General features: G+C 39.8%; 1 protein-coding gene across 16 annotated transcripts in view, besides 4 other annotated features; it reads right to left on the reverse strand.

Moving 5' to 3' along the window:
* DENND1B (DENN domain containing 1B) overlaps nucleotides 1–8,180 on the reverse strand; it is a 277,403-nt gene extending 269,223 nt beyond the window's left edge. For 8 of the 16 annotated variants that reach the window (NR_125340.2, XM_005244931.3, NM_001195215.2 and 5 more), the window contains exon 1: nucleotides 1,169–1,510. Coding sequence is in view for 11 of the 16 variants with exons in the window: in XM_005244931.3 (XP_005244988.1) it covers nucleotides 1,169–1,185 (17 nt within the window). In the remaining 5 variants the exon portion in view is untranslated. Of the gene's footprint in view, nucleotides 1–516; nucleotides 1,109–1,168; nucleotides 1,511–1,686; nucleotides 1,730–8,019 lie in introns of those variants that run through there. The other 8 variants (XM_024453626.2, XM_011509249.3, XM_011509247.2 and 5 more) reach the window with 6 other exon arrangements.
* Nucleotides 858–1,367: a silencer, noted in NCBI's record as "silent region_1661". NCBI's record gives its function as "represses an Ori minimal core promoter by ATAC-STARR-seq in GM12878 lymphoblastoid cells {active_cell/tissue: GM12878}" and the evidence as "EXISTENCE:reporter gene assay evidence [ECO:0000049][PMID:35858748]".
* Nucleotides 1,518–1,717: a silencer, noted in NCBI's record as "silent region_1662". NCBI's record gives its function as "represses an Ori minimal core promoter by ATAC-STARR-seq in GM12878 lymphoblastoid cells {active_cell/tissue: GM12878}" and the evidence as "EXISTENCE:reporter gene assay evidence [ECO:0000049][PMID:35858748]".
* Nucleotides 2,009–2,303: a silencer, noted in NCBI's record as "tiled region #12429; K562 Repressive DNase matched - State 5:Enh". NCBI's record gives its function as "represses a minimal TATA promoter and a strong SV40 promoter by Sharpr-MPRA in K562 cells {active_cell/tissue: K562}" and the evidence as "EXISTENCE:reporter gene assay evidence [ECO:0000049][PMID:27701403]".
* Nucleotides 2,678–2,727: an enhancer, noted in NCBI's record as "active region_2276". NCBI's record gives its function as "activates an Ori minimal core promoter by ATAC-STARR-seq in GM12878 lymphoblastoid cells {active_cell/tissue: GM12878}" and the evidence as "EXISTENCE:reporter gene assay evidence [ECO:0000049][PMID:35858748]".
* Nucleotides 8,181–11,900: the final 3,720 nt, after the last annotated feature.

Below are 11,900 nucleotides of genomic sequence, written 5' to 3' on the forward strand. Positions count from 1 at the left end.
GGAAGCTTTTCTTATAAGATATGAATCTGGAAACATAGGAAGTGACAAGACATATAAATTAACATGCAAATATACATTTTTTTAGCCTTTCCGCTATTAACTTGTTTCAATGGGAATAATCTGGGCTCAGATGACTTCCTCCCTCTTAAAACAATTAATGTCAAGAAGCATACTATTTTTACTCACTTACCCTGCCCACCATGATGTCAAACACACTGAAGAAAATAATTCTATTACATAATTTCCCTCTTTCCCTAATATTCTTTAGAATTTCTCTTAGGTGTAAAAGTTAAATATTGACTCAGTTTTACTTCTGTGAAATTCAAACGGCCTTTCACAATAATACAAATATACATGGCATTATTTTAAACTTTTTGAGAAGGAGATAGTAAAGGGTGGGTAAGCGAAGTAAAAAGGAATTCTTTCCAAAGTTAAGTTTCAGAAGAAAAATATAAAACTCATGCCTCTAAGATACCTAGAAACAAAATCACCACCGTTATTAAAATTGCTTTTTACCTAATCTCCTGAGCAAAGTAGTCGTTGATAAATACTTTAGCACACACATAAAAGTACCCTCTAATTGGATACCGTTTTGCAAGAACCATGCATCTACAGTTGCTGCATAAAGAAACACCAGAGACCAATCTAATTTTATAAGCAGAATCATAAGAAAACATCCAAGACAAAAGTAACAAACGGACTTAAGAAAACACCGGTTATATTTAATGCTCAGAGAGCACTCGGAATAATAACCTCTTAACCTCAACGCTGACTCCCTCCCGGACACCACACGCACACAGGCAGCCCCAGGAGAGTCACATCTGACACACTCGGGGGAAGCACGAGAACCCCTCAGCGGCGGTGTCAGGGGCCGCCCGGCCTCCCCTGTCCCCCGAAAGGCGGGCGTCGACAAGGCGCTAGTGGCCTCTCCGGGAGGAGCCGCGCCAACCACGGAGGGCCGGGGACGCAGGGCGGGCAGGCTTTGCGGCCTAGCGCCGTCCCGCCGGCCGGCCAGAGGCTTGGGGGCCGGACCGCACCCCCAGCCCGCCCGGCCAACCTCGGCCGCCCGGGGAGCCGGTTGAGCGCGGAGGCGCGGAGGAGCCGAGCTGGCCTGGGAGGGGCCGCCGAGGGACGCCCGCCCCCGACGCGCCCGGGCCCCCCCACTCACTTGGTCCTGCAGTCCATGGTTACATGTCGGTGTGGGGCTGTCCGTCCGGCCCCCGCGCGCTGGCCTGGAAGCCCGCAGCCCGGCCGCGCGAGGGTCGCGCCGTCCCCGCCCACGCCGGCGGCCACACAGGGAAAGAGGCTGCTCACAGCAGCCGTGGCGGCGGGCCCATGTCGGCTGCGCCCCCGGCACTTCCCCGCCTCCCACCCCACCCACCAGAGCCTTTCTGTGACAGCAGCGGTGGCGTGGCCGCCGCCCCCGTCTCCGCCGGTAGCCGCCACCAAAGCTGAGGCCTCTCAGTTCCTGCGACCGGGGCCGCCCGCTGCGGCTCCTGCACCTTCTTGCAAATCAGGAAGTCGCCGGGAGGGGGAAGGGGCGCGCGGGGACGCGCCCAGCGGCTTCACCTGGGCCGTGCGGCTCGCAAGTCGGAGACTGTGGAGGAGGCGGGGGCCAGGTCCCCGCGCCCGGGCGGCCAGAGGGTGCAGGGGGAGCGCTAGTGCCTGCTGGGATGGCCCACGTACCGCTTTGCCACCTAGCCAGAAAGGCAAGGTGCCCCCTGTGTCCTCAGCATGAACCAAACCGGCTTCCTTTCTGGGTCCAGTCCAGATTCCAGGGCGTCGGGGCTGCAACCCCACAAAGGGCGAAGTACCTGGAAAAGTACCTCGACCTGCAGTGTTTTCCACACACATACACACGGACTTGGGTTCCTTTCATTTCATACTACAAATTCAGAGCTCAAGTTGATGCCCCTGGCTCTTGCGTCACTCCAGCTGTGGCCTGCTTACAGCTCTCTGAAATCCAGAGCTACCCCCTCCTGATTCAGGAATGTTCAGACATGTGCACCTGCTAAATAGCCCTGTCAAGTAGCCAAATGGTAGTGCCCCACTTGTCTGCGCATGTGGGAGGCAGACATTCCTATACCACAGACTGCAGTGATAACCAAGGACTAACTTTTGAACACATGTACATAGTCGCAGGCCTCATAGTCTGGCAGTTTAGGCGAGTTCAGAGAGGGCACCACTGAATAAGCGTGGGAGGGACTGATTTACACAGCCCTAAAGCACATGTGAAGCAGGTTATGTGCACTCTCACCCAGTACTTGTCATAGGTGTGTGATAGATACTTTCATCAGCATTTTACAGATGAAGAAACCAGGGAGTAATGGCAAAGCTGGAGTTCACACCAGGTCTATCTGATGCTGATTATTTACTTCTACCTCATATTGCCTGTCTCCCTCCTCTGCTGTCTCATATTTAGGATCTACTGAGAAGACAGGTAGAAAAGTCTTATGATGGACATTCAAATGACTGTGGAAGGCCAGGCTCTTACACAGAGATCTTCTGGGAAAGGCCTTCTCCCAGCTAACACTGCCACCCTTGACACATAGCCACAGTGTTTCTTCCAAAAGGTGGTTACTTCAGACTTTATTCATGCAGAAGTTAAGATGATGAGAGGAAACCAAATGTGGTATGAATGTAGTGTGAGTCATAAGACATAAAAGTCAGAAAAGGAGTCTTAAGAATTAAAAAACTCAAGAGTCAGAGAACCTGAAGTTGCACTCAGTTATATAACCTTAAACTTTCTTGCCAAAATTGGGTACTACTTGGTCAACAGGATCAGAAATATTGTATAGCCATGGGCCTGTTAGTAAAAAATGAGGACGGGCCATAACTGGGAAACAAACAAACAAAAAAAAAATGTGTTTATCATAAAGTGTTGTCATAGCTTGACTCGGGGTGAGACACTTCAGTTTCTCGGTTCCTACATTTGTAAAATGGGAATTATTACTTGTACATCACATGAGCAGTGTGATGTTCAAGTAAAACAGGTGCTACAAATTTGTATTATCTTTTGAGAAATTATTCTGTGAATTTCAGTTTCACAATTAGGCAAACTATACTACATAAGTTTTCTTTTCCCAAATAAAGATTTTTCTGCATAAGTGACCATACTCCAAAGCCTTGAAAAAAAAAATTCGTAAGCTAAAAGCCACTTCTGCCCCAACTGTTACTGAATTTCTCAAACTTCTCCTTTCATTATAATTAATTATTTCCAAAGAAAGGAACCCTACTTGGGGTGACCATATTGAGGACTTTTTAATTTGGTGTGAGGAGATAATAATACAATTGTTTTCCTCATCCATTGTTGGGATTTTATTTTAAATGACAGTCATACCCTTGAACAGTATAAAATTGTTCTTCATTCCATTTATGTTAAGTACATCGAGGGAAATACTACACATTCGCATCCCAAAGCAAATCTTTTTAAGTGAGCTTTTAGGCTGACCATAATGAAGAGATTTATCTGTTCTGTTATTACTGAAATAAAAGGGATAGGAACATAGGTGTACATGATCTACATGCATGAGGTGTTAAAAAATTAGAAAACAAATATCATACACTTACCTTGGTAATAGCTTTAATGAAATCGATGGTATAACTTTAGTAATACTCATTTCATATAGAACTTCCCATATGACTGATAGAGAAGTGTACAAAGGGCAAACCTTCAAATTAGTCTTAAATCTTCCCAAGATCATATTTCAGCAATGATATTTCCTACTCGACAATTAATATTAACAGTTTTCAGGACCATACCAGTCAAAGAACATAGTCTGTATTGTTGTCAAAGAACATGGTCTTTATTTATTAATTAATTTCTTATTAATTAATTAATTTAGTTAATTTTTTAAATGTTTCAAGACTTAAATGTTGTATGTGGTTTGTAAAGAATATATATTCTGCAGCTTTGGGGTACAGTGTTCTAAATATATGTCCATGATCAAATACGATGATTGTGTTGTTGACATCTTCTATTACTGAATTTGCATCTGCTTGACATAATTCAATTAATGGGAGAGATGAGTTTAAATATCCCAACATGATGGTAGATTTTTCTATTTCAGCCTATAGTTCTTTCAGGTTCTACCTTACACAGTTTGGGGCTGTGTAATAATATACACATCAGTTTATAATTTCTATATCTACCTAATAAATACAACCATTCATCATTATGTTGTTACTTTCTTTACCTCCAATCGTACTTTTGCCTTAGATTCTAAACAGTTTTCTTCTGAATAGTATTTGTCTGATGTTAGGATATCTCTTTTCATCCTTTTACATTCAAACTTTCTAAACCATCATGTTTCAAATTTATCTAAAATTTTTAGTCTTGATTTTTAATCTAGTCTGATCATCTTTAGCTCTTACATCAAACCCCTAGACAATTTGCATGTATTAAAACTGTTGATAAATTTAGGCTGGGCGCAGTGGCTCATGCCTGTCATCCCATCACTTTGGGAGGCTAAGGCGGGTAGATTAGTTGAGGCCAGGAGTTCAAGACCAGCCTGGCCAACTTGGTGAAACCCTGTCTGCTAAAAATACAAAAATTAGCTGGGTGTGGTGGGTGGTGCAAGCCTGTAGTCCCAGATAATAAGGAGGCTGAGGCTTCAGAATCACTTGAACCTGGGAGGCAGAGGTTGCAGTGAGCCAAGATCATGCCGCTGCATTGCAGCCTGGTTGACAGAGTGAGACACTGTCTAAAAAAAATTAAAAAAAAAAAAGAGAGAAAAATGCTGATAAATTTAAATCTATTTCTGCCATCTAATTTTGTACTTCCCGTTTGTTTCTTCTGATCTGTTTTTTTCTTTCACTTTTGCATTCTTTAGGATTACTATTTATGCTTTCATTTCTGCCCCCACCTCTTCTAGTTTGGAAGTTATTTACTCTGTTTCTATTCATTTAGGAGTTATCCTAGAAATTTTAATAGGTACATTTTAACTGATTAAAGCCAGAGTTCACAAGGATATCCACCCTCTCTCAAACAATACAAGAACCTCTAAAACCCCCTCAAAACTAAAATCCCCCCAAAAATGCATTATGAATGTTGTTTTATACAGTCCATGTTTGTTTAGATTTACTCAGAACTTTACCATTCTTTTGTATTTTCATTTTAGATCTTCTGTGTAGGATCACTTTCCTTCTGCCTAAAATTCTTTCCCTTTTTGTTTGAGTTGGAATGTATTTATTTATCCCTCACTCTTGAAAAATATTTTCACTGATGAAGAATTCAAAGTTTACTATTATTTCTTTCTGCATGTTATCAATATCATTACACTGTCTTCTAAGTTCCCTAATAACAATTGGAACTTTGAAAGTAATCTTAAAATGTCATCTGTTTTTTCTCTCTGACTGCATTTATGATGTTTCATTTTTGTCTTTAGTTTTCTATAGTTTCACTGTGAAGTATCTAGGTGTAGATTTTTATTCATCCATGTTTCTTGGTTTCTTTAATTTTCTTGACTCTGGATTGGTGACTTTCATCAGTTCTGGAAAATTCTGGACTCCTTTCTTTCCATTCCTTCTGGGACTCTGATAACACATGTGTTATTCTACCCTCCATGTTTGTCAAACATCTCTTTTATAGTATGTCTCTCTTTATCTGTCTACGCTGTATTCTGGAAAATTTCAAAAATATTCTGTTCACTAATTCTTTCTTCAGCTTTGTCTCATTTTCTGTCAAAGTCACCCATTTAGTTTTTAATTTATATTATTTTTATTTCTAAAGTTCTGTTTGGTTATTTTCCAAATCTGTATTCTCTTAACTCATATTTTCAGCATCTCTTTAATTTATTAAAAATATTTAATATATATACTTTAAATTCTATTTCTAAAAATTCCAATATCTGAAGCATTTGTGGGTCTGCTTCTACTAACTGATCTTTTTTCTACTTGTTCATACTTATGGTCTCTTGATTTCTTCTATGTATGTGATTTCTTTTTATGTTATGTGATCCTTAGAACTTTATATATAGAAATTGAGTGACAGCTGAAATGAAAATGAGTTCTCTGGAGAAGATATTAATTTACTGCTGGTAGATGCTTGGGATCACTAGCAATTCAGAAACATAAACACTAAATTCTCAGCTTGAAATTCTTCAGACCATTCATGTGAGACCTGGTTTGTAGCTATGAATCCTCTGGGAAGCTTTTTTCCCCTTAACTATGCTCCATTGTTTGAGACAATTGTCCTTGAATACCTTTGGGGTGTATCAGCTTTATGAAGAGTATCCTGTTGGATTTCCCACATTAGGAAGGGTCTGAAGACCCATAAGACCATGATAACAGTTCATGGTCTTCCAGTTCATCCAGCTTAGGAAAAACCCTAAAGATGAAGATGAAAGGTGGCTTTTCTTTTTTTTTTTTTTTTTGAGATGGAGTCTCGCTCTGTCGCCAGGCTGGAGTGCAGTGGCGTGATCTTGGCTCACTGCAACCTCCACCTCCTGGGTTCAAGCAATTCTCCTGCCTCAGCCTCCCGAGTAGCTGGAACTACAGGCACCTGCCATCACGCCTAGCTAATTTTTGTATTTTTAGTAGAGGCAGGGTTTCACCATGTTGGTCAGGACGGTCTCCATCTCTTGACCTCGTGATCCACCCACCTCGGCCTCCCAAAGTGCTGGGATTACAGAGAGAGGTGGCTCTTGTAGCTACTTTTATTTGTCCCCCATCCTCCACCCCTAAGTATTCTCACTTGATTGCCTGCTCTTCAATGCATTGCAAGCTTTTAAAAATACTTAATTCTGAATTTTTAGTTGATTTTCATGCAAGTTTTGATCAGACTATAATGGATAATTACTTGGTTCTGACTATAGTGTCATGTAAAATGGACTAATTGCAACTTTTTAATCCACCTAATAAGGTCCACTTTCCTCAAACCAGGTCCAAAAAGTCCCCAACTTATATATCCCTATATATTAATGGTGTAGAGAAACCCAAGTTCAGGGCTTTTAGTGAGCCAACTGCCCTGATTTCCAGTGTACTATGACAATTAGAAAGGTAACTCCTGGCTTCCCAACCCCAACCACTTATTCATTGAATCCTTGTAGTAATATGCCTTAAACAAAAGTGAAGAGTTACTGATACCCAGGACTACTAAAGTTGACAGCTCCTTTCCCTTCTGAATGCGAAATAATAAACACTATTGTAAACTCTAGAATGGTATTTTTAAAAATAATAATACTATTAATAATGCTTCAGGTTCAGTATAAATTAACTCGACTAGACTCATAAGCCTCACCAATGTATATGAAGATTTTGAGTTCCAAACAATTAACTTAGAAATGAATTTTTTGAGGCAAGCATCTCATGAGTTGTAGCTAACATGTATCCAAGTCAGGCATTTCCTAGACTAACTCTGCACAACCTCTTATTACTATTCTTAGGTGAAATTTATTAATAGTATTACCACCTTCATTTATTATAGAAGAAAAGTTATAAAGTATTTAACAAACTGAATTTATTGAAGCTCTTAGGAAACTATCTTTAAATTATTTTATCAGGACCTGCCTTTTAATATTGACTGAGATAGTGTTGTTAAGGAAAACATCCTCCTGGCATGTTGTCCTTTTTATACTTAGCAGCAATATCATGAATTTCAATCTGAAGGTAAAATCTCCCTCAACAAGACATGTGAAATACTTTTAAAATAAAGAGAAGATGGAGGTGGGGATTCGGGATCAATATCTTCCCTGAAAGTTTGCCTTTCTGAGTTGTTTCACACCTCAAAGCTCATAGAGTTAGCATTCTATGTTGATTTAAAATCCAGTTTAATAAAAATGTTGTCTTCCAGTTTGTGGACAAAAGAACTCAGATAAATTTTGACACCTTTACTACCAAATCTGAACATATCCAAATATTTCTAAAATTCAATGGGTCGATGATGATATTTGTATATCTTGCTGTTAAACTTTTAGTAAGAAAATACAGTAAAATTCTCAAAAATAATACAGCACAGCAAAAGATCTTCTTCTGCCTTTTTCAGGTGATTTGCCAAAAATTGTAAATAAATTTTCTTACCTCTGACCAGTTTCTGCTTGTTCTCCCTTATCTTTGTTCCTCAATCTGCCAGACATTGTAGAACTTAAAACAGTCCTTGGAGTTCAGAACAAAGAATAATTGAAGCAGAGTGTCACCAACAGATGGTAATCAGTGGAGTCAAATTTTCTTCAGAGATTCTTTGAGGATTCTCCTTTGGACTTCAAGAAAGAGTGCTGTGTTTGTGTAACCATGTGGCATTGCATGGGAAATAATTTCCCAACCCCACCTACAAGATACTCCACGTAAATACAGTCTTCCTTGTATGGCAGCTCTGCTCACACCCATTTAACACTCTCAGGAGAATGAGTAATCACATCCAATGAGCAATGTCATTAGAATTTTCTGGAAGGAAACATAAATGATCATCTAACATGATGATAATAGTTCAACAAAATCAGCAGCCCCATAAGCAACCCTAATCCTAACGTAAATAGAGAGATTATCAAAACAAATTGCTGTGTGCCAAGTTTTGCTTTCCTAAAATATGAGAAAATAACTAGCCAAACATTACATGCATTTGTATATGATCAATTCTAGAAGGGGAAAAGTGCAACATTCCAGCAAATAGAACTCAGTCAAATACCAGGTCAAATGGTATAATTCCACAGCACAAGTTCATATGAAACAGAGACTTGTAACTCCAAAACAGATGACAAACTCTCCCCATCTCTTACTATTGCAAATTATAACAAGATAAAAATGAACAAGGACTGAGAGTTCTTCTGGGCTTCAAAAGTATGGACATCATCTTTCTCTCTGCTGTTGTTTCTGATGTCACAGACCCAAGTCTTAGGCAAGTAAGACTTGCCAAAAAATGGTCTGGTAAGACCATTTTTGCTTGTAATCTTCTCTGGGAAAGAAGGAACAGAAAGAAGGATCTGTGAAACTGATCAACGTCTTCTTAGTTTGGTGAGAACTTATATGTTTCCTTTGTAAAAAGGATGCAGTCTCACCTGACTTTCTTCATTCACGGTGCATAATTCCAGAAGTTTCTTCCCTTCTTCTCGAGACTGCCAATCAGGACAGCTGGGCTTGGCTGGAATGGAAAGGAGGAATTTGGACCCATGATCCTGTCCATTTGCCTGACTGTATGCAAGTGACTTAATAAAATTACTGCATCAGTGTGTAGTGACTTCTTTCTGCCTGCTGCACAGCTGTTTCCTGGGCCTTCCCTTCACTTCCCTCTTGGACTGAGTTGTGGATCAGGAACATATGACATTAGTATGTATACTGTGCATAGTAATTATACTGTGTTCTCCCTATGGTTACTTAATAAAACTACCAAATAGGTGCTGCTAATTCAGATTCTGTGATGATGTAGGTACAGCCATTGATTACTACACAACCCATTTATATGCCTATCTGATTTTTGACACAAACATGTTGTACTTCCTCTTTAAATAAGCAGGCATTAATTATTACATAATGTATGCAGGAATTCATGAGGATAGGCTTAATATTAGAATTAGTAGGAAGGTTTTAAATCAAGTGGCCTACTATTGAGCTAGAAACAACTCACTCCAGCAAACCAGCTGGCTTAACTACTCCCAGTTTGTGAAAGAAAAAAAAACTTTAACATTTGAGTCACTGTATCATTTCATGCACAAAGACTTCATGGACATACCAGAAAGACAAGCTTTACCACATTTGCATTTATTCTTTTTTATAGTTGTTGTGATTTTGCCAAGTGCTTTATGACCATTTTTTATTAGCTAGGCCTCTCAATAGTTCTGTGAGGTATAGATTAGGAGGTAAAACAGGTACTATAAATGATGAAGCAGGAAGCTAACTCTACAGGGACATTTTATTCCAAGAACGCCTGTGTGGAAGAATGCACTTTCCCATGTCTGCCAGAGGCACCAGGAAATAAAAGTCAGTCTGCATACTACTGAGTCATTTACAAAAGCCATTTTCTTCATAAAGCACATATGCATCTCTCCTCACTCACTCACTCTTGCTTTCTCTCTCTCAAATCAAAAGCGAGCAAAGCTCAAGTGAGTCTATATTTCAATTCAGAAACATTTATTATCATATGTCATCTCCCTTGTTAATATCGTATTTTTTTAAAATCCTCAGTCAAGGTGATACCTTGTTGATATCTTTAAATATGAATTATAAGCCACACTAAACACTTCTGTAATCATACCTTTCTTTAACAGTTTTTTGTACAAGTTGGAGGATTAAAAAAGGCATTTATGGGCTGGGCATGGTGGCTCATGCCTGTAATCCCAACAGTTTGGGAGGCTGAGGTGGGCAGATCACTTGAGGTCAGGAGTTCTAGACCAGCCTGGCCAACATAGTGAAATCCTATCTCTAGTAAAAATATAAAACTTAGCCGGGCACGGTGGCATGGGCCTGTTGTCCCAGCTACTCTGGAGGCTGAGGCAGGAGAATCGCTTGAACCTGGGAGGTGCAGGCTGCAGGAAGAAATCATGCCACTGTGCTCCAGCCTGGGAGCAGAGCAAGACTCTGTCTCAACAACAACAAAAAAGGCATTTATGTAAGAAACTGAAAGAGATATTTGGGTTTTTTTTATTACTTGCTATTACTGTCTCATTTTACAGATAATGAAAGCTAATGTTGAAAGAACGTTTCTAATGAAATTAGTCTATAGACAAACTCCATCTTTTAGAGAAACTCTTTGTCCAAAAACTGGATTTCATGGTTCTTAAAGATGAAAATAGAAAACTAAAACTAAAGAATAATTCTCTATGGACATTTATACAAATTGAAAATAAATCTGTCATGATTCTGTTAATGAACCCATTGACTATTTTTCATTTTATATTCATTTTATTGTGTATTTGTGGTATGATACTTCACTTAACATACAGTTTTTAACCCTTATGTAAAAAATATATGTGAAATAGTTTTGTTCTTTAATGGAGCATGGGGGCCTAAAGGGAAAAAATGCCAATGAAGATAAGCCATGTACATAGTCAAGATGTACATTATTGAAATGGATTCTAGAACCAGCTGCTAGGGTGGAATTGATTTGGCATTATTTTATGATGGGCTCAATCACTTGCCCTGAATCAGTGTTCAAATCTCATCTTTTTTGGTTTGCCCATTGTGTTTTCTACTTCTTCTCCAAGTTGCCTCCTCTGGTTCTAGGCTATGCTATGTAGTTGCCCTTGACTTATCCAGATCTTGCCCTATTCCTTTGAATGAACAAAGCCTTCAAAGATAGCTTCCTTTTGTTTTCAGCTATCTTGCGTATTTTTCTGCATGCCTTCACCTCTCCCAGATGACCATATGTGTCTTGGCTCCCAAAGCCAAGGAGTAGTTGATACATATTCTTTACATGGTTATAAAACTAATAATATTCTTTGCTAAAGTTTGGCTTCTTTGCCTAAACTAGTATTATTTTCATCACTAGAGACCATATAGTTTCTGCCCTCATGGAGATTATAGTCTAGTTAATAAAGACCAAATATAGGCCGGGCAGGCAGATCACGAGGTCAGGAGATCAAGACCATCCTGGCTAACATGGTGAAACCCCGTCTCTACTAAAAATACAAAAAATTAGCCAGGTGTGGTTGCAGGCACCTGTAGTCCCAGCTACTCGGGAGGCTGAGGCAGGAGAATGGCCTGAACCCCAGAGGCGGAGCTTGCAGTGAGCCGAGATCGTGCCACTGCACTCCAGCCTGGGTGACAGAGTGAGACTCCATCTCAAAAAAAAAAACTATATATATATACACACACACACACATATACATATATATAAGCATGTAAATATATAAATAATAAAATTTCTGATGGTAATGAGTGCTAAAACAAAAAGAAACAGAATAATGAGATAGAGCGATGGGCAGAAGACTATTTTGGCTAGGATAGACAAAGCAGGCCTCTCTAAGATG

This window comes from Homo sapiens, chromosome 1 (genome assembly GCF_000001405.40).
Source record: "Homo sapiens chromosome 1, GRCh38.p14 Primary Assembly".
In the NCBI taxonomy this organism is placed as follows: domain Eukaryota; kingdom Metazoa; phylum Chordata; class Mammalia; order Primates; family Hominidae; genus Homo; species Homo sapiens.